The sequence below is a fragment of the Homo sapiens genome, chromosome 3, assembly GCF_000001405.40.
Source record: "Homo sapiens chromosome 3, GRCh38.p14 Primary Assembly".
NCBI lineage: Eukaryota > Metazoa > Chordata > Mammalia > Primates > Hominidae > Homo > Homo sapiens.
The window spans coordinates 114293014-114313570 of NC_000003.12; the positions used below are offsets into that span (position 1 = coordinate 114293014).

A 20557-nucleotide genomic window follows, 5' to 3' on the forward strand; every position below is an offset into this window, starting at 1 on the left:
CCCCAAGGCAACTGTGTTGAGAGCCTGCGAGGCAGGTGAATGTGGATCTTCTACCCCCTCTCCTGACTGAGTTCACCAAGGAACAAGCTTTGTAAACTATTTGAGGGTAGGGGCTGTGATTATTTACTCTCATATCCTCAGAGCCTGGTGTTGAGGTTGGTGCTTTGTAGGCACCCAGGGACTTTCAAATGAATGAAGGGAGGGAGGGAGGAAAGAAGGATGGGTCCATAGTAGGACCTGGTGATGGGCTGGGAGCTCCAGGCAAATGTCAACCAATCCCTCTCCTGGGTCAGCTCCCAGGGGCTCACCCTTCTTTGCATTTCCAGCTCTCATGAGGTCATTGTGCACAGGAAAGCTCTCTCCTCTAATCTCCTCTGATCCTACTGCACCAGAGAAATCAAGCCAGAATTCAATAAAGTCTCAGTCCAGATAAACAAGACAAAAGAAATAAGATTCGAGTAGAAGATCTCCTTCAAGGGAAAGTTGCTGTGTTTGTCCAAGACCTTTGTCCCATCCATGTATCATCCCCCAAGTAAACACTTCTTGTTCACCTGTTCATTAGATTTCAAGTGCAGTCCCTGGCCTGTAAGTCCCTACAATGATAAGCTTCTCTTATCATTGCACATTCTTCATCAGGAGGATGCCAGAGGAGCTCAGCCAACAGTTCCTCATCAGTAGCAGATTCTTCAGAATCTTGGGCACTACACAGATGCCCTTGAGCTCTTTGAATAAAGGCTGATTTTTAGAAAAAACATTAAGACAGAACTTAAAAACAATAGATTGACTATAATCCAAAGACGAGTGTACCTCTAACCACAATTTTCATTTATTTTTAAATGTTTCCTTCATGGCCTTTCTTGTGGCTCACCCTATGCAGTTTGTGTATTTGTTGACAACTTTATGTGTTTTTAATATGGTTTTTGCCAAACTTGGTTTTTCCGAGACCGTCTTTTCTCAGAGGCTCAGTTTTACCGTCCTATCTGCAGTCGGCTACTTTCAGTGGCAGAAGAGGCCACATCTGCTTCCTGTAGGCCCTCTGGGCAGAAGCATGCGCTGGTGTCTCCTCCTGATCTGGGCCCAGGGGCTGAGGCAGGCTCCCCTCGCCTCAGGTAAGGCCTGAAACCCAGCAGAGCAGCAGGGAGGAAAAACAAGGCTAAGCTTGGTTGGAGACTTGGGTGCTTGTGTAGGGAAGACTCCAAGAGCATGCCACAGCTGCTTGAGAGAAAGAAATTGCAACTTTTAGAGTCCTGTGTACTCTTATTTAAGAAAGGACAATCTCTGAGAATGAGGTGGGGTTCTGTTTTTGGTGGCAGATGAAGGACTTTGCAGACTTCCGGGGTTGGAGGAGCCTGACTGGCCAGCACAAGAAGGAGCAGGAGAAGAAGAAGGGCTGGGCAGGAGGCATTGCCAGTTTGCTTTTAGAAGCTCATTCCTGCTCCAGCTTCTTTTCTGTTGCCTTTCAGGAACTTTCCAGGAAAACATTATAAGTTCTCTGTGAATTGAAAATGTCTTTTTCACAGATTCCAGAGGTTCTACCACTAGAGACTGATTTTTTGTTAAATTTATTTCTTCTATATTAAAAATCAGAGTCAAATATTTCTGAGGGAGGGGAACACAAATATTTAAAAACTGTGGTATAAATTAGTTTTTATGTTGCCTTCTGAACTATCTGAGGATGGAGATGTGCCCAGGGTTGCTGGGGAGAGGTTAAGTGCTGAGAGGGTGGTTATGCCTGGGAGAAGCAGGGTTTCCTGCTAAGCTTCCTTTGCTATTGGATTTCTTGGCTTTCCTGAAGGTTTTTTCAGGCACTGCAAATGACAATCAACCAAACAGCAAGGTTTTATTTCAAAGGATAATGCATCCAGCATAGAACTAGGCCGCAGGAAGAAACATAAAAACAAAACAAAATAAAAACAGAAGAGGTGGTATCAGCTGACAAGGGCTTATATTCTAAGTGGGTAGACAAAATAGGCCTACGAAAATAACAAGCTGGCCATGAAGCTACATAGCAGAATATGCGAGGGGGCAACGTGCTAAGTTGTGTAGTCATAAGCCAGGCATTTAGTAAGGTGCTAATTATACAATACAGGCAGTGAATGTGAAAGGAAAAGGGAGGTTGAGATGGGCTGAGGTCTTCTAGGAGGCGGGGAGGGAGTGCAGCCTTGACAAGCCTCCCTGTGGGCGAGGTGTAAAGAGGGGCAGAAGTCAGCTCTGGAAGCATAGGGCAGTGGGTGGGGAGGAGATGGGCTGGGCTGGGCTGGAGTAGAGATGTGTGGAGAAGGGTGAGAAGACTGGAAAGACAACCTGAATGGGGGACTGGGAGCCTTGAATAACAGGCATGGAGAGGAGCGTCTCTTGAAATGGAAGAAACAGGAAATAATTACAGCCTCTATGGAGGAGCAACAGGATGGACTGGAGAAACTATCATTCCAAAATCCAGTTGGGGCCTCAAAGGCCCTTAGAATTTTTCTAGGAAGGTTGAAGGCCAGCTGCTGACCCAGGACTCACATGTGCTTCGTCCTCTTCCCTAGGAATGATGACAGGCACAATAGAAACAACGGGGAACATTTCTGCAGAGAAAGGTGGCTCTATCATCTTACAATGTCACCTCTCCTCCACCACGGCACAAGTGACCCAGGTCAACTGGGAGCAGCAGGACCAGCTTCTGGCCATTTGTAATGCTGACTTGGGGTGGCACATCTCCCCATCCTTCAAGGATCGAGTGGCCCCAGGTCCCGGCCTGGGCCTCACCCTCCAGTCGCTGACCGTGAACGATACAGGGGAGTACTTCTGCATCTATCACACCTACCCTGATGGGACGTACACTGGGAGAATCTTCCTGGAGGTCCTAGAAAGCTCAGGTATTCCTGCTGGAGCAAGTTGGTGGATAAACCTCTCCCTCTAGCATAGAAAATGCAATCCTGAAACACTGCACAGCAGGGCTTCTCAATTCGGGATCACATTTGAATCACCTGAGGAGATTTTAAATCATACTGATGCCGAGGCCTCACCCAGACCAATTCAATCAGAATCCCTAATAGCAGAGCTAAACAAGGGTAAGGTCTAAAAGCATTTCCAGGTGATTCTAATGGGCAGCCAATACTGAGAACCACTGTTCTTATGTAAGAAGCACATCTTACCTATATTTCCTAGGAAGACCAGTTGATGAGGTCATATGCAAAAGTTCCCATTTATTGGTTTAGTATAATTGTGCAAATTAGAATTAACCCCTAAGTGTATAAAGAGTAGAGCTGGTTAAAAACATAGCCTGTGCTAAGTTTAATTGTACAGTAATTTACATTTGTGTGGTACTTCCAAGTTTCCCAAATGCCCTCATATTTGTTATCCACCTGTACATTTAAACCAATTCCCAGAGGTTAGAAAAGGATTCTTATCTTATCTGAGAGACAGTATAGCACCATGGTTAAAAGCTCAGACTCTGACACCAGACAGTCTGGGTGCAAATCCTGGCTCTGCTGTTGCCCTCAGACAGGATTTCTTAGCTTCTCTGTGTATCAGTTTTCTCATCTGTGAAAGGAGGATGAATATAAGACCTTATGCGATGCTAATGTAGGATTAAATTCCCTACTACAAGAAAATGGTCTTAGAACAATGCCTGGAACATGGTAAGTGCTGTATAAGTGTTAACTATTAGTATGATTCCCATTTGTTTGATGCAGGCAGAAGCTGGAGCTTGGAGTTGCTCAGAGTGGTAGAGCTGATTTTAACACAGATGTTTTTGTTCTACTAAACTGCATCCTCAGAACTCCTATTTACTGCTGTCAGTTATGTTGAAGATTAAGTTATATGGTTGCAAAATATGTGTAAACTGAGAAGATAAAAGGTTACCTTAAAGTTTCCTTTCAAATGTTACTTCTTTTTTTTTTTTTTTTTTTTTGAGACGGAGTTTCGCTCTTGTTGCCCAGGCTGGAGTGCAATGGCGCAATCTCAGCTCACTGCAACTTCCGCCTCCTGAGTTCAAGCGATTCTCTCCTGCCTCAGCCTCCTGAGTATCTGGGATTACAGGCACCCACCACCATGCCCGGCTAATTTTGTATTTTTAGTAGAGACAGGGTTTCTTCACGTTGGTCAGGCTGGTCTCAAACTCCCGACCTCCAGTGATCTGCCCGCCTCAGCCTCCCAAAGTGTTACTTCTTAACTGATTTCACATAGGCCAAACAAAGACTGGTTAAGAGTTGAGGCTCTGGAATTGCACTGTCTGGGGTTGACTATTGCAGTTGACCCCACGAAGTCTGGGTAAATTATGTACTTTTTTTCTCAGTTTTCTTGTCGATAAAATGTGGCAAATAATTTCATGAGCTGATACAAGTAAGGTCTTACAACAGTGCTAGATAGGTAATAAGCTTAACTTCATAAGGGCTAGTTTTTATGCTATTTATTGGTTCATGGTTAGAGGAGGCCTGGGACAATAAGCAGGGCAGGGGACCTAGATTCTGGCAAAGTAACCAAGTGATGGCCTTGACCATTCTGGGCTCTTTACCCCAGTGTCATATGCCAGAGGACCCATCACCAGACGGCAGGACCGGGAACAGGGAGGGAGTTCATCAGGCAGAAGGCCCCTGTGGAGTGGTAGTACCAGCAACTGAAGACCAAATGGGAGCTATGTCTGGTTGCTAATCTCCAGGCCAGGCCATTCATGGAGATCGGTGGTCCTGACATGCACACTCCTCCCCAAGACCACAGTGGCACGGCTATTTCCCAGCCTGAACCTGGGGAAATGAAGGTGCAAATTTCTTCTCTGTGGCTCATGGACCCCTGGGGAGAGAGATCAGAAGATGTTCTATTGGACCCCTGTGCAGCCTCCCCACAAAGCCTGTATGTTTCCACCCTTTTGCCATTGCAGACTCCAGGGAACACCATTGGTCACTCGGCTCTTCCCTCTTGTTTCCCAAGTGGTCAGTTGCTTATGTGGAATGCAAACTCTCCTTAATTACTTGCATTAGCACAAACCCTGGCTTCTTTTTGAACCTAATCTCAAACCTTAGTCCAAGTCCCTATCCTAATACTATCTGTAATATTTAAGCTATTCCTAACCTTAATGCTAAAATTGTACTTAACCCCAAAGTCAACCTGGTTAATAGGCAGAAGTTTTAAGTAACCCTTATACAGAGTCTGCCCCTTCCCCACCCTGCATGTAGTGATGTCATGCTTACTCAGGGCTGCTTCTGTTTCAAAGACCTTGATATCTTTGTTCTATGACCATAACTGTGAATGGAGACATTGGTGCTTTTATTTCAAACCAAAAATTCCAAATGAAATTGATACATCTAATATCCCAAGTTCCACTCTGGTCCCAATTGTATCTCGAACTTATCCTTAAACCTAACCAAACTCATTATCATAATCTTCCCTAAACCTCAACATGCTTTTCACTCCATCTATCTTCATCTGTCCCCAAGGTGTAAGAGAACCCAGGCCTAACCCTGCCTCCAATCTGGCTCTGTCCCCAAACTGATCATATATCCTTTCCTGGTTTTATGGATAGCCCTCTGCAGCCCCTCTTACCTGCTGCAGTGTGTTCTCTATGACCCCTGTGCTTTCCATCTGTCCTCTTTACTCCAGAGCTAACTGTATGGCTATGGCTAACCAGAAGCCGTCCTGGCCAACTGTGACTGAGTCCCTCAAGGCAGGAGGAACATGTTCTGGGGAATTTGAATTGTGCAGGCACCACCCTTGTCTTATGGATTGGATTCCTAAGCCACCTTTTAGCAACCCAGACCCTTAGGTAGAGGGATGAGATGTGAGGCTTCTGCTGCATCCTTTGAAGACTCCCCTGGATACCTGAGCCCTACCTGAGCTGCTGGGGCAGACTGGAAACCTACCTACAGCGCAGCATGCATGGGGGTGATGGTGTTCTTTTTCTCACATTCTTCTTGGGTCAGATCTTACTCATCTCTTCAAAACTCCCCTCCTGCATCTTCTTGCTTCCACTTACATGTTATCTCTTAATGAAATGCACTAGTTCATGATTTCACTTATGCCACAAATATTTATATTTACTGAGCATTCGCTATGTGTCAGATGCTGAGAAAACAGCAAAGGATAAGAGTCCAGAGCCTCATGCCCTCCAGGGTTTCACAGCCTAGCTGGAAATAAGTGTTATAGGCTTAAGGGAAAAGGTTACATACTTTTTTTCATTTTTGTAATTTAATGTTAACTTTATTTTAATTTTGAATTAAATATTTTTATTGATATGATTTCATATTTGAAGTTCAATAAAAGAAAATATTCACTTTCTGAGTTTTTTTCTGGAACTACTATTTGTTTCATTTCATGATTACCAAAAATGATTTTGTCAAATAGAAGAAACGAATGTTAAAATGACCTGCTCTGGTATCAAATATACAAGGTACACCACTGCTGAAAATATCAGTCATTGATTTCATGATGGGCCAGATGGATACTCTGCTGTTCAAAGTGTTGGGCTTAAAGGCTCCAGTCCCATGGTTACACAAAGGGCTTGGCCAATCCTCCCCTCTCTGCCGTGAAGCTCAGGCTGCCCTGGGGAAATCAGCTTCACTTCTGGCTTCTGCCACTCATCTCTGTTTTGTCCTCCCTCTAGTGGCTGAGCACGGTGCCAGGTTCCAGATTCCATTGCTTGGAGCCATGGCCGCGACGCTGGTGGTCATCTGCACAGCAGTCATCGTGGTGGTCGCGTTGACTAGAAAGGTAATGGCTCCGGCTGCACACCGCAGTCATGGGCACCCCCACGTCTGGCACCCGGGTCCTTTCAGGTTCTCTTTCCACCCAGAGAGAGACCCAGATGTGATCTTCCCGAGTGCTCTTTGTGCCTTTTTCCTGGCATTTGTTCTGCCTATTAGTGCAGTTATTTATGCTCTTCCGTTGTCCCTCTCATAGGGAGGGACCCCCTGGACAGCTGGACCTGTTTCCTACCCATCTTGCTGTCATTTGTAACTCCTGGTTTCTGCTTATCCCTTAAGCCACTGCTCTGAGAGTTTAATTTATCTACTATGATTTTGATGCATCGTGGGCATCTATATATGCTAGAGCTTTCTGCACATTAGCTCTTTTGATTATTACAACTCTCTGGTAGTGCTAGGTTACCCAGCATGTCTGTAGAATGAGAAATAAACACTCCAAAAATGTAGGGTTAGGCCAGGAGCTGTGGCTCACACCTCAGAAGCCACAGATATGGCTGGTGCTATTGGGAAAGTCAATGATCTGTAATATTTTCATTTATGTGTTGGCTATCACAATAGACATAATTCCACCCACTCGGGAGACTGTGGCGGGAGGATCACTTGACTCTAGGAGTTCAAGGCTGCAGTGAGCTATGACTGCACTCCAGCGTGGGCAACAGAGCAAGACTCTATCTCTAAAAAAAAAAAAAAATTGGTGGTAAAGTGGGCATGGCAAGATCAGCAGGTTGTAAATCCTCTGTTTAGCTTAAGAGCTTATGTGGCTGAAAGAGTAATGAATGGGGAATTGAAAGATCTAGTTTCTAGTTTTGGCACTGAGTGTATGCTTTTAGGAAAGTTACTTAATCTTTCAAGGTCTTCATTTCCTTATATATAAAATGGGGATTTGTCTTAGTCTATTTTCTGCCGCTGTAACAGAATACAATTATTGGGAAATTTATAAAGAAAAGAAGTTTATTTGGCTCATGGTTCTGGAGGCTGGGAAGTCCAGGAGCATGGTGTATTTGGCGAGGTTCATCCCACGGCAGAAGGCATCATGTGATGAGTGCATGCATGTGAGAGAGAGAGAGAAATGAGGCCAAATTCATCCTTTTAATTAGGAACTTACTCCCATGATACCTAACCCACTCCTGAGATAATGGCATTAATCCCTTCATGAGGGCAGATCTTCATGGCCTAATCACCTCTTAAAAGCATTACCACTTAATACTATTACAATGGTAATTAAGTTTCCAACACATGGCCTTTTGGGGGACACATTAAAACCATAGCTGTATTATAATTCGGCTTACTCTATATCATAGAGTTGTGATGAACAAGTGGCATATTTCATGTAAAATCTTTATAAATAACAAAGAATTATATCAGTGAAATTTATGTCATCAGCTACTGGTATTGATTGGGAGGAGTGAAAGAATTTCCACTCCTTGTTTTGTCTGATCTCTTGGGCCCTTTAAGTCAGCTCAGCCCAGGTCACCTTAATTCAAGTCACCACATAAATATTTTGGGAAACACAAGTTTGTAATTTCTACCTTTACCCCAGACCCTCCACCTGAGATCCTAACCCACTTTTCCTCCAACTCTAATTCCATTCAATTAACAACTCAGTTCTGCAGCCTGGTTGAACTGCAGTGGCTGAGACATGGCTGGTGCTATTGGGAAAGTCAATGATCTATAATATTTTCATTTATGTGTTGGCTATCACAATAGACATAATGAGGAAATGAACCCTCTATGGGAAGGTGAGGACAAGAGAAATGATTGAATAGAGGGGGGAGGTGAAGAAGATGAAAGTTGATCTCTTAGCTGGGAAGGGAGCTGCTATGGTGGTTGGTGAACAGGTTCTCTGCTGTTAGCAGTGTCCTGATGGTCTGGAATAAAAGAATCAAAGGCTCTTTAGAAGGAGCTGAACAACTTTTCCTGTTAAGGATTCAAGACTGGTTAATTTTCATTCTGGGCACCTGGACTAACTTTGGTCATCTGGAGGGTAGAGAAAGAGAAAAAGGTGAAGAGACCTATTGAGTCCTGTTGCTCCCTTTCTACAGTGTTTGATTCCCCAGCCCTCTCTGACATTTCCACTGCTTCCTGTGTAGTGTGGGTCCTCTCTGCATCTTTCCTGTGCTTTGGATATAGTTGTCAGTCTTCTGTCTCTCTCTCCTTGCTCAAAGCATTTTATAGTTGCATTATTCAGGGTTCCAGCAGGGAACATGTAGTACTCAAACTGGGTTGTTTGAAGACAGTTTAATAATAGGATTTCCAGAAGTCTAGTAGGATGTAAGGACACCACAAGGAGGAGTAGCAAGGTGCTGTAACCATTCCTAGTTCTTCAAAGGGTAGGGGAGGGGCTAATTATTGGAGCCTGGAAGGAGAGAGTTATGTGGAGGGGTCTCCTTCAGAAGTGCTGTAGTCTTTGCTGGAGGGTCACAACCAGTCCAAGGCCACCCTGCAGAAAGAACAAAGGGAACTACATACCCTCATCTCATTCCTCTCTCCATTCCCCTACTGTTGCTTTGCATTGGCTGACCTCAAACTTAGGATGGAGGATAAGGGGACTCATTGATGTAGTACATTTAGTACAGTCTTCATAGGGCACAGAATAGGGTGGAGAAGGTTAGAGAGCAGAGCCAAGAGGCAAATGGCTGGTATCCATTCAAGTAGTGCTCATAGACATGAACACTGGACAAAGGATCTTGACTTTCCACAGGGTTGGCTGGCTTCAGCCTTCTCTCTTGTAGTCTTGACCTCTTTTGATTATGTATGTAAGCAATACCCTTCTTGGCTGCCCAGCTGTATCTCTCCTGGGCACACTGTGCTCTATTAACCATTTTAATATTCCCATGGATCAGGCTTTCTTGGCTCCCATTGAAGTAATTACATCCATTTTGTTTCTTTAAGTGCTGCTATCTGTTCTGTACTATTTTGGGATCTCCTCATCCTCATTGCTACTAGGAATCCAGTTCTGTAAAAGCATCTCCTATTTTAGCCCTAGCCTATAGAGGAGAGATGCCACCAAACTTCTCAATGATGCTGGAGCTCCCCTAGCACATTCTTTTCCAGCTTAGTAAAAGGGATATTCTTTTTCTTTTTCCTTTTTCCCCTTTATTGTTGCTATTATCTTAAGGGATGTTCTCTGGATCTTCCCTAGAAAAGTCAATATAATCAGCTATTGGATTTTGGAAATTATTCAGTACAGGGATTGGCAAAATTTCTCTGTAAAGAGGCAGATAGTATATCTTTTTGGGTTTGTAGGTCATATGGTCTCTGTTGCAACAATTCAACTCTGCCATTGTAGTGTGAAAGTGCTATAGATTATATACAAATGAATGACTATGACTCTGTTCCAACAAACCTTTATTTATAAACACTAAAATGTTAATTTCATATAATTTTTATGTGTAATAAAATATTCGTTTTTCTTTCTATAAATTTTTATGTTTTAATTTTTTATATATTTTTTATTTCAATAGGTTTTTGGGGAATAAGTCCTTTAGTGGTGATTTCTGAGATTTTGGTGCACCCATCACCCGAACAGTGTACACTGTACCCAGTGTGTAGTCCTTTATCCCTCAGCCCTCTCCCACTCTTTTCCCTGAGTCCCCAAAGTCCATTAGTCCCTTGTATCATTCTTAACGCCTTTGCGTCCTCATAGCTTAGCTCCCACTTCTGAGTGAGAACATACAATGTTTGGTTTTTCATTCCTGAGTTACTTCACTTATAGTAGTGGTTTCCAATTCCATCCAGGCTGCTGCAAATGCCATTATTTTGTTCCTTTTTATGGCTGAGTAGTATTCCATGGTGTGTATATATATATGTATATATATATACACATATATATGTATATATATACACATATATATGTATATATATATACATATATATGTATATATATATATACATATATATGTATATATATATATACATATATATGTATATATATACACACACACACACACACACACACACAGACACATTACAATTTCTTTATCCACTCATTGATTGATGGGCATTTGGGCTGGTTCCATATTTTTGCAATTGCAAATTGTGCTGCTTTTTGTATAATGACTTCTTTTCCTCTGGATAGATACCCAGTAGTGGGATTACTGGATTAAATCATAGTTCTACTTTTAGTTCCTTAAGGAATCTCCACACTGTTTTCCATAGTCATACTAGTTTACATTCCCACAAGCAGTGTAAAAGTGTTCCCCTTTCACCACATCCATGCCAACATGGGTTATTTTTTTATTTTTTGATTAAGGCCATTCTTACAAGAGTAAGGTGGTATTGTGTTTTGATTTGCGTTTCCCTGATAATTAGTGATGTTGAGCATTTTTTCATATGTTTGTTGGCCATTTGTATATCCTTTTCTGAGAATTGTCTTTTTATGTCCTTAGCCCACTTTTTGATGGGATTTTTTTTTCAGCTGATTTGTTTGAGTTCCTTGTAGATTCTGGATATTAGTCCTTTGTTGGATATATAATTTACAAATATTTTCTCCCAATCTGTGGGCTGTTTACTCTGCTGATTATTTCTTTTGCTGTGCAGAAGATATTACTTTTTAAAACTATTTTTGTTTTAAAAAAACACTTAAAATATAAAAGCCATCTTTAGTTCAAGGGCTGTAAAAAACCAGCAGTGGGCCATATTTGACCCACAAAACTCAGTTTGCCATTTCTGATTTAGTAGGTTTATTCTCTGAGCATTTTGTTCCCCTTTTCCATAGTTTGCCAAAGCAGTGTTGTCATCTCTATTGACAGCAGTATATCAGAATCATCTCCTGGGGCCCTTGTGAGGGTGTTAAATATTGAGCGTTCCAATATTGACGCATTATCCCTCATCCAGGCTTATGTTCTACCCCCTACCACAATCCATCACCTTCAGAATTCATGCCTAGGCATCTTCTCCCAGTCCCTGCCAGTAGATGTTAGCCAGGTCCTGTAGTATATAACCTTTCTATTCTCTTAGCAGACCCAGCACTTCCTCCATTAGCATGGGCTGAGATTTTATCCTAATTACGGGCCTGATGGACAGTAGGGGAGGCAGAGGCAGGGCCCAGCAGGGATTCTTTTCCATCAAGGGGAAGTGGGCCACTTCTGCAGCTCCAGATGGTATAAGAGAAGCAGGTGGTTCCTGGCTCTCAAATGCATCTTTCCAGAGATCCTCATTCCAAGTTTCAGGAGACTCCTCCTCTACTATCAAGATGCTAGCTTTGGCATAGAAAATTTACCTAGGCTTAGAATCAGCCTTCTTTAAAGTCCTGTCCCTCTTACAATTAGCTTATGTACCTGGTCTTCAGCTGTGGATAGACGAGTGTCTTTTAAATGCTGCCAAGGAGGAGCTTTAACTCTCACACTTTGAGTTGCTGATAGATCTGAGGCTGTCATTTTCTCACTTCAGTCCATCGGTGCAATTTAGCAAAAGTCAATTTTGAGTCCTAATATTAACTATTACCCTATACTGTTGACCCAATTCCAGAGTTCTAACACTAACTATTTACCCTATACACCTCAAATGTTAGAGTCAGTGCACCAGCTCATAGTTTCCATCCATCTGTGTCCCATCTCATTTCACCACCAGTCATGGGGTTTGTGTTGCCATCTAGCAGGTGAATGATCCCATTCCACAATCCTGTTCTTACAGGCTGCCTTCTAGGACTATTCCCAGCAGCAACTGTTTTAGATCAGGTCCCCGGAAATAGAGCCTGACATGCAAATTTTGGTGAGAGTGACTTATTGGGACAGCTCTCAGATGAAAAGTAGTGAAGGAAGCAGTATAGGGAGGGCTAAGGGAAGAAAGCTCAGCATGGATATGGTCTCAGCTGGAGACTTGGCTGAAGCAAGAATTGTACAGAGTCGGTTGAACCTTTAGGCAGGGAGCTGGCATTTTGGAAATCCACCTAGGTCAGTCATTACTTCTGGCTGCTCACCAGCGAGGGCCCAAGAGCAATTCTCCAGAGAAGGGGCTGCTGTGAGCTCACAGCGTACACTCCCAGCATCTGGAAAATGGGAGTGCTGGTCAGGTAGAGAGATCTGAGCAGGAACTGTACATTAGTTATGGGTCTCCGGAGGGACAGAACCAATAGGAGATATAGATGGATGGATGGATGGATGGATGGATGGATGGATGGATGGATGGATGGTTGGATGGATGGATGGGTGGGTGGATGGATGGATGGATAGATAGATAGATAGATAGATAGATAGATAGATAGATAGATGAGGAGGGATTTGTTAGGGGAATTTGTTCAGGTGATTGTAAAGGCTGAGAAGTCTCACCACAGGCTGTCTGCAAGCTGGAGACCTTGGGATGCTGGTAGCATGGCTCAGTTCAAGTCCAACAGCCTCAGAACCACTGAGGCTGTTGGTGTAATTCTCAGTCCAAGGCTAAGGGCCTGAAAACCCAGGGTCAGGAGCACTGGTTTAAGTCCTGGAGTCCGAAAGCCAGGGAGCCTGGTGTCCTGATGTCCAAGGACAGGATGAGAAGAGTGTGTCCCAACTCCAAAGAGAGAAAGTACAATTTTGCCTCTCTTCTGTTTTGGGAAAGGCAGGCCTCCAGGTGAGTGGATGGTGCTTGGCTACATTTAGAGTGTATCTTACCTACTCACTTCACTCAGACTGACATGCCAATCTCCTTTGGAAACACCCTCACAGACACACCCAAAATGGGCTTTACTAGCTCTCTCAGCTCCCTTAATCCAGTTAAGATGATACCTAAAATTAGCTATGACAGGCACAACAGCATTCACTACAGACCTTGAGAGCCCATAGACTGTGTTATTTAGGAGCATGTTCTTTGGAATCAGACAGTCCTAGGTTTGGGTCCCAACTCAACCACTTGAGTAGCTGTACCACCTAACTTTGATGAACCTCAGTTTTCTCATCTGTAAAATGCCGATAATTATGGCATTGCCTTCATAAGGTCATGAGAAAACTTCAGTCAAATAATAATTAATGTAAGGCACTTAGCATTTTTCCTAGCATGTAAGCTGGAAAGGTGAGTGGGACCATCACAAGGGATGTTTTTGGGATCATCACAAGGGATGTTTTGGGGATCATCACAGTTTCTTATGAGGAATGTAGTGAAATTATGGATTTTCTTCTTGGGCAAAATTTTCTATACAATTTACAAATCCCCTGAAATCCAGCTGTGCATCTCAGGTTAAGCACCCTCCTATATACAGTGGAGCCATTGAAGAGTTTTAGGCAGAAATATGGACTGACACAACTTTTGTTTTTGAAAATCACTCTGCTGGCGACCATGTGGAGTTGGACTAGAAGTAAGAGGGAGTCCAGAGACAGTGAGGATGAAGCCCAGGTGTGAGAGAAGACATGGATATAGAGATGGAAAAGAGGGAGTAGATTTCAGAACTGCCTAGGATTAAAATTGGATGAAGTTTTACAGATAAATTGAGTTGAACATTAGCCTCCAGATTTCTGCTCAGCTGGTGCCATAAACCAGGGCAGTGAATATAGGGGCAGGAGTGGTTTGTTGGGGCAGGAATGTGATGGTGTCGTTTGAGACAATTTGAGTCTGAGCTTGCCGTGGGTCATCAGGTGATGATGCCCAGTGGACAGGTGGACACCTGCATCTGGAGCTCAGGGCAGAAGCCTGGGCTAGTTTAGATAGAGATTTGGGCATCTTCAGAGGACAGATGGTGGTTGTAGATGTAAGAAAGTAGATGCTCATGAAATCACTCAGAGAGCATGTTTAGCGTGAGAGAAAGCAGAGAGCAGAACCCTGGGGAACCCCACGGTTTGGGGAGCTGATGTGCAAAGAGAAAAGGGGCAGGCCTGGCTGAAGACGAAGGTGGGGGTTCAAAGGAGGAGAAGAAAATCAGGAGAGAGTGATGCCAAAGGATCCAGAGAAAGAGAACATTTCAGAAAGTAAGAGGTCGACAGAGTCAAGTGCAGTAAACAGTACAAGAAAATAGAGAATGGAAAGCTGCCTCACTAAGCTTAGTGAACAGGAAGTAACAAGGTGTGTGGCACGTGGTATATGTAGTAAGTGCAGTTTCCATGGACTAGTTAGCATTTAAATCTAGCTGTAACGCGGTTGAGAAATTAAGGGCTAAGGAATTGGTGTTGGTAAGAACATAAGTTTGCTGGTGTGCATGTGTGTAAGAAAGGAAGAGAGAGATGTCATATTGGGGATTAACTGTTGAATAACATCCCCACATACTCACTTTGTAGTTTGTTTGTTTTTAGAAGAAAGCCCTCAGAATCCATTCTGTGGAAGGTGACCTCAGGAGAAAATCAGCTGGACAGGAGGAATGGAGCCCCAGTGCTCCCTCACCCCCAGGAAGCTGTGTCCAGGCAGAAGCTGCACCTGCTGGGCTCTGTGGAGAGCAGCGGGGAGAGGACTGTGCCGAGCTGCATGACTACTTCAATGTCCTGAGTTACAGAAGCCTGGGTAACTGCAGCTTCTTCACAGAGACTGGTTAGCAACCAGAGGCATCTTCTGGAAGATACACTTTTGTCTTTGCTATTATAGATGAATATATAAGCAGCTGTACTCTCCATCAGTGCTGCGTGTGTGTGTGTGTGTGTATGTGTGTGTGTGTTCAGTTGAGTGAATAAATGTCATCCTCTTCTCCATCTTCATTTCCTTGGCCTTTTCGTTCTATTCCATTTTGCATTATGGCAGGCCTAGGGTGAGTAACGTGGATCTTGATCATAAATGCAAAATTAAAAAATATCTTGACCTGGTTTTAAATCTGGCAGTTTGAGCAGATCCTATGTCTCTGAGAGACACATTCCTCATAATGGCCAGCATTTTGGGCTACAAGGTTTTGTGGTTGATGATGAGGATGGCATGACTGCAGAGCCATCCTCATCTCATTTTTTCACGTCATTTTCAGTAACTTTCACTCATTCAAAGGCAGGTTATAAGTAAGTCCTGGTAGCAGCCTCTATGGGGAGATTTGAGAGTGACTAAATCTTGGTATCTGCCCTCAAGAACTTACAGTTAAATGGGGAGACAATGTTGTCATGAAAAGGTATTATAGTAAGGAGAGAAGGAGACATACACAGGCCTTCAGGAAGAGACGACAGTTTGGGGTGAGGTAGTTGGCATAGGCTTATCTGTGATGAAGTGGCCTGGGAGCACCAAGGGGATGTTGAGGCTAGTCTGGGAGGAGCAGGAGTTTTGTCTAGGGAACTTGTAGGAAATTCTTGGAGCTGAAAGTCCCACAAAGAAGGCCCTGGCACCAAGGGAGTCAGCAAACTTCAGATTTTATTCTCTGGGCAGGCATTTCAAGTTTCCTTTTGCTGTGACATACTCATCCATTAGACAGCCTGATACAGGCCTGTAGCCTCTTCCGGCCGTGTGTGCTGGGGAAGCCCCAGGAAACGCACATGCCCACACAGGGAGCCAAGTCGTAGCATTTGGGCCTTGATCTACCTTTTCTGCATCAATACACTCTTGAGCCTTTGAAAAAAGAACGTTTCCCACTAAAAAGAAAATGTGGATTTTTAAAATAGGGACTCTTCCTAGGGGAAAAAGGGGGGCTGGGAGTGATAGAGGGTTTAAAAAATAAACACCTTCAAACTAACTTCTTCGAACCCTTTTATTCACTCCCTGACGACTTTGTGCTGGGGTTGGGGTAACTGAACCGCTTATTTCTGTTTAATTGCATTCAGGCTGGATCTTAGAAGACTTTTATCCTTCCACCATCTCTCTCAGAGGAATGAGCGGGGAGGTTGGATTTACTGGTGACTGATTTTCTTTCATGGGCCAAGGAACTGAAAGAGAATGTGAAGCAAGGTTGTGTCTTGCGCATGGTTAAAAATAAAGCATTGTCCTGCTTCCTAAGACTTAGACTGGGGTTGACAATTGTTTTAGCAACAAGACAATTCAACTATTTCTCCTAGGATTTTTATTATTATTATTTTTTCACTTTTCTACCAAATGGGTTACATAGGAAGAATGAACTGAAATCTGTCCAGAGCTCCAAGTCCTTTGGAAGAAAGATTAGATGAACGTAAAAATGTTGTTGTTTGCTGTGGCAGTTTACAGCATTTTTCTTGCAAAATTAGTGCAAATCTGTTGGAAATAGAACACAATTCACAAATTGGAAGTGAACTAAAATGTAATGACGAAAAGGGAGTAGTGTTTTGATTTGGAGGAGGTGTATATTCGGCAGAGGTTGGACTGAGAGTTGGGTGTTATTTAACATAATTATGGTAATTGGGAAACATTTATAAACACTATTGGGATGGTGATAAAATACAAAAGGGCCTATAGATGTTAGAAATGGGTCAGGTTACTGAAATGGGATTCAATTTGAAAAAAATTTTTTTAAATAGAACTCACTGAACTAGATTCTCCTCTGAGAACCAGAGAAGACCATTTCATAGTTGGATTCCTGGAGACATGCGCTATCCACCACGTAGCCACTTTCCACATGTGGCCATCAACCACTTAAGATGGGGTTAGTTTAAATCAAGATGTGCTGTTATAATTGGTATAAGCATAAAATCACACTAGATTCTGGAGATTTAATATGAATAATAAGAATACTATTTCAGTAGTTTTGGTATATTGTGTGTCAAAAATGATAATATTTTGGATGTATTGGGTGAAATAAAATATTAACATTAGTTTCATGCTTCTTTTTATCTTTTTAACGTGGCTACTGGAAAGTCTAAAATTGCATATGTGGCTCTCATATTTCTATGTGACTGTGCTGCTCTAGTAGCTAAACCCAAGCCAAACTGATACCCAGGGAGGGTGTCTATCTATGTCTATTGGTCTCCATTTCTTTTTCTTTCAAAATAGTGTTTGAGGAAGATTTTCCTGCTTATGATGTCTTTTGGGAAATATGTAGGGAAGCATCACAGAGAAGATTGAGGAAGGGGAACACTCAGTGCTGACAGGAAGCGATGCCAGGCTTTTCTGGGTCCCCTCGTGGATTCCCTAACAGGAGGAGCGAATAGACAAATCTATGAATGAGCATTCAAGGAGGAATACATTACTGATTCCCTGACCACATTCTAAGCCTGGGCGTACAAGTCTGATCTATAATCCTGAGAATTATACTAAAGAAACGTGAGAAACTTTGAGTCATGGAGCTTTGAGATAGATGGTCTTCATGAGTGAACAGGACCTCACTATGCAATTTTATTTCCTGCCTTTTCCCCTTTTCATTTCTCACCACTGTGAGCCCCAGAAATGAGTCGTCATACACTCAGGTTCATTCAGATTCCATCAGTGCTGAGCTGGACAGGCAGGGAGGCTGGGTGTGAGGTCCACCAATGACAGCATTCTGGTGGGCACACCTCACCCCACAGAGAGGGGGCAATGGGCAGTGTGGCTGTCATTTGTGGGGTGTGAGTTTTGTTTAGTCTCCTGATTCTTTCAGGTGCTGCTTCATAGCTGTAACTGGTAGTTTCCCACACTTACTCCAAGTCACACCTGTCAAGAGGTACAGGGGAGCTTTTTGTGTGGCAAGAGCCTGAGCTTTCTGGAAGTCACAACGATATACTCAATGTTTGAGGTAATTTATTTGCATAAGGTAGTGTAGGACAATGCTATCCAAAGAACTTTCTGCAATTATGGAAATGCTCTATGTCTGTCCCATCCAGTATGGTAGCCATTAGCTGCATGTGGCTGTTGAGCACTTGAAATTTGGCTAATGTGACAAAGAAACTGAATTTTAAATTTTATTTCATTGTAATTAACAAATTTAAATGTAAATAGCAACATGTGACTGGTGGCTAGTATATTGGACATTCCAATTCTAGTAATTGCCTTGCATATAGAGAAAACACAGACAGCTGTGTTTATAGGACATTGGATGGCTCGCCAGTTGTTATGCATTTGAAATGGCTATCACCAGGAAGAAACTTGAAGGTTCTCCTCTACTCTCCTATATCCATCCTCTGATCGAGACAAACCATGAGGTCAAAGCAGGCTGTACATTTATTTATTTCAGGTTTTTTCAAAAAAAAAAATCTGAGGCAGCTAAGTGGTCCAGTTCATGTAAATAGGGCCAAAATTGTCAAGAAATTTGCAACTCATAGGGGTTATGCAGAAATAGACTGTCATCACAGGACTTACCATAGACTATATTCATTCTGACTTCATGTAGGCTGTGAAGAGCACCTTCTCTGGGACTAAAACTCTGATGGACTTCACAGAGATCAAAAAAGAAGTAATCATGGAGTGTAGTGGACAGGGAATTTAGAAACTTGGTCCAAGTGCTGAGCTCTGCAATTAGTTTCACGACTTTGGATAAGCCACTTAACCTATCAAAGACTCATAAATATTTCCTCATTTATAAAATGGTAATATTACTATCTTTCTAAGATTCTTAAGAAGATGAGGCAGGAACGTGGCTGACTGCTTTGTGAGCTGCAAGATGCTGGGTTAATATTATTGTGTTCTGCCCCAGGAACACGTGCACCAGGTAATGCTAATGATGCCACAGAAGTTTTCATGGAGGCAACAAAACTGGCTTGGAGCAACTGAGGTATCTGAAATTATCTATCAATCAATGTTCTTAAAAACTGAGATATAAGGAAAGCTAAGAGTTGCAGATACAGCCTTGGGGTCCACAAGTTCTCTGCAAGCGTTTAAACATTGTGTGTTTTAAGTGAAATGATAATCTTCAAAGAAGTCATCTATATCTGGATGTTGATAGCCTTCTTAAAACAGAGTGTTGTCATTGGTTTTAGCCTCTATGTTTGTGTTTATACATATAAACTTGATTATAATCAAGTTTATTTAAAGGCACAGAAGCTTAATTTATAAATGATTCATTTACTCCCAGATGGGTGGAGAAGTGGAAGACTTTGCAGTATTGAACTAACAGGAAAGTGAAGCGATAATTGCTTTACTTTGCACACTGTAGTGTAGGGATGTTGTATTCAGAAGGGTGTGTGCAGTACACTTAACTTTGTGAGCCATGACTTAGATTCAGGAAAGCATCATTCTATGCACTCATTGTTATTGTAGACATTACTAATTTTATAGTTTTACTTGTACTTAATTAGTAACTTGTAGTTTTATAATTCTACAAGGGATATAAGCATAGTAAGTTCACTTGTCGTTGTGTTTGAGCCTATTTAAGAATGTCTATAATAAAATAATTATGCATATTATGAATTTATTACTAGATATTATAATAAGAATAATTATTTTATTATTATCGCCTCCCATTGAGGAGGTCTGTGAAACTATTTTTTTTCCTTCATATGGGCATACACACATTACTCAAGTTTGAGAATAATGGTATGGTATAAATATTATTGGATTTCAGAAAACCTGACCTCAGGCACTAGTTTATTGTTTTTTATTGGAAAAACACATATTTCTGAACCTGTGTTTTTATAAATTAGTGCAATCATAGCTACATCACAATATTTACAGTATAACTGTGAAGATGAAGGATATTAAGGAGAAACTTTGTAAACTGTGAAGTACCATATGAGTAGCGTATGTGTCATTTACAATTATTACAGCCTGTATATAAATCGCACCACAATGTTTTTAACAGGTACAGAAGAAAACTTAAGAGTGTGTGGATAGTGCAAAGAGAGATCCAAGACTTTGGGTGAAGCTGGCTGGCATTGTTAAGAAGATGTTGGTTCACAGAAATGATATAGAGACAAATTATGCATCATGAAAATATTTTCTTCCTCTTTATACTTCTAGACTATCAATCAGGTTGACTTAGAAGTTCAGCAATTGAGTTGCAAGAAGTAAATATTTAAATTCACAGTGGTAATGTTGAAATCTCAGGAATTTATTGACATCCTTTCAGTCTAGAGGTCTCTTGATGACTCTCCCCATCCCAAGCTCATGCCTGGATATTTTTGTGCTCCTCACACTGGTGGAAATGTCTGTCCACACTCAGCTTCTCCAACTCAAAGCTTAGTGTT

General features: G+C 42.3%; 1 protein-coding gene and 1 long non-coding RNA gene across 4 annotated transcripts, besides 7 other annotated features; both read left to right on the forward strand.

Annotated features, from left to right (window-relative positions):
* The first annotated feature begins 1014 nt into the window (after nt 1-1014).
* On the forward strand, nt 1015-17275 carry TIGIT (T cell immunoreceptor with Ig and ITIM domains). Of its 3 annotated transcripts, none has more exons than NM_173799.4 (4): nt 1015-1109; nt 2532-2861; nt 6584-6690; nt 14882-17275. In NM_173799.4, exons 1-4 carry the CDS (start codon nt 1049-1051, stop codon nt 15116-15118), a joined length of 735 nt encoding a protein of 244 aa, NP_776160.2. In that variant the 5' UTR covers nt 1015-1048; the 3' UTR covers nt 15119-17275. The 3 variants fall into 3 exon arrangements, with proteins under 3 accessions (NP_776160.2, XP_047303627.1, XP_047303628.1); XM_047447671.1 differs by having other exon boundaries at nt 14885-15271; XM_047447672.1 differs by lacking the exons at nt 1015-1109; nt 2532-2861 and adding an exon at nt 2893-3626.
* Nucleotides 6137-6638: an enhancer, noted in NCBI's record as "H3K4me1 hESC enhancer chr3:114017997-114018498 (GRCh37/hg19 assembly coordinates)". NCBI's record gives its function as "activates a minimal SCP1, AML or CMV promoter by ChIP-STARR-seq in naive H9 embryonic stem cells {active_cell/tissue: H9 hESC(naive)}" and the evidence as "EXISTENCE:reporter gene assay evidence [ECO:0000049][PMID:30033119]".
* Nucleotides 6639-7138: an enhancer, noted in NCBI's record as "H3K4me1 hESC enhancer chr3:114018499-114018998 (GRCh37/hg19 assembly coordinates)". NCBI's record gives its function as "activates a minimal SCP1, AML or CMV promoter by ChIP-STARR-seq in naive H9 embryonic stem cells {active_cell/tissue: H9 hESC(naive)}" and the evidence as "EXISTENCE:reporter gene assay evidence [ECO:0000049][PMID:30033119]".
* Nucleotides 14240-14309: an enhancer, noted in NCBI's record as "active region_20270". NCBI's record gives its function as "activates an Ori minimal core promoter by ATAC-STARR-seq in GM12878 lymphoblastoid cells {active_cell/tissue: GM12878}" and the evidence as "EXISTENCE:reporter gene assay evidence [ECO:0000049][PMID:35858748]".
* Nucleotides 14430-14509: an enhancer, noted in NCBI's record as "active region_20271". NCBI's record gives its function as "activates an Ori minimal core promoter by ATAC-STARR-seq in GM12878 lymphoblastoid cells {active_cell/tissue: GM12878}" and the evidence as "EXISTENCE:reporter gene assay evidence [ECO:0000049][PMID:35858748]".
* Nucleotides 14840-14939: an enhancer, noted in NCBI's record as "active region_20272". NCBI's record gives its function as "activates an Ori minimal core promoter by ATAC-STARR-seq in GM12878 lymphoblastoid cells {active_cell/tissue: GM12878}" and the evidence as "EXISTENCE:reporter gene assay evidence [ECO:0000049][PMID:35858748]".
* Nucleotides 15693-15742: an enhancer, noted in NCBI's record as "active region_20273". NCBI's record gives its function as "activates an Ori minimal core promoter by ATAC-STARR-seq in GM12878 lymphoblastoid cells {active_cell/tissue: GM12878}" and the evidence as "EXISTENCE:reporter gene assay evidence [ECO:0000049][PMID:35858748]".
* Nucleotides 15913-16092: an enhancer, noted in NCBI's record as "active region_20274". NCBI's record gives its function as "activates an Ori minimal core promoter by ATAC-STARR-seq in GM12878 lymphoblastoid cells {active_cell/tissue: GM12878}" and the evidence as "EXISTENCE:reporter gene assay evidence [ECO:0000049][PMID:35858748]".
* A 1790-nt stretch (nt 17276-19065) lies between the features above and the next one.
* Nucleotides 19066-20399, forward strand: LOC124909411 (uncharacterized). The gene is made up of 2 exons (XR_007096008.1): nt 19066-19146; nt 20173-20399. It is a non-coding gene; the product is annotated as an uncharacterized LOC124909411 (long non-coding RNA).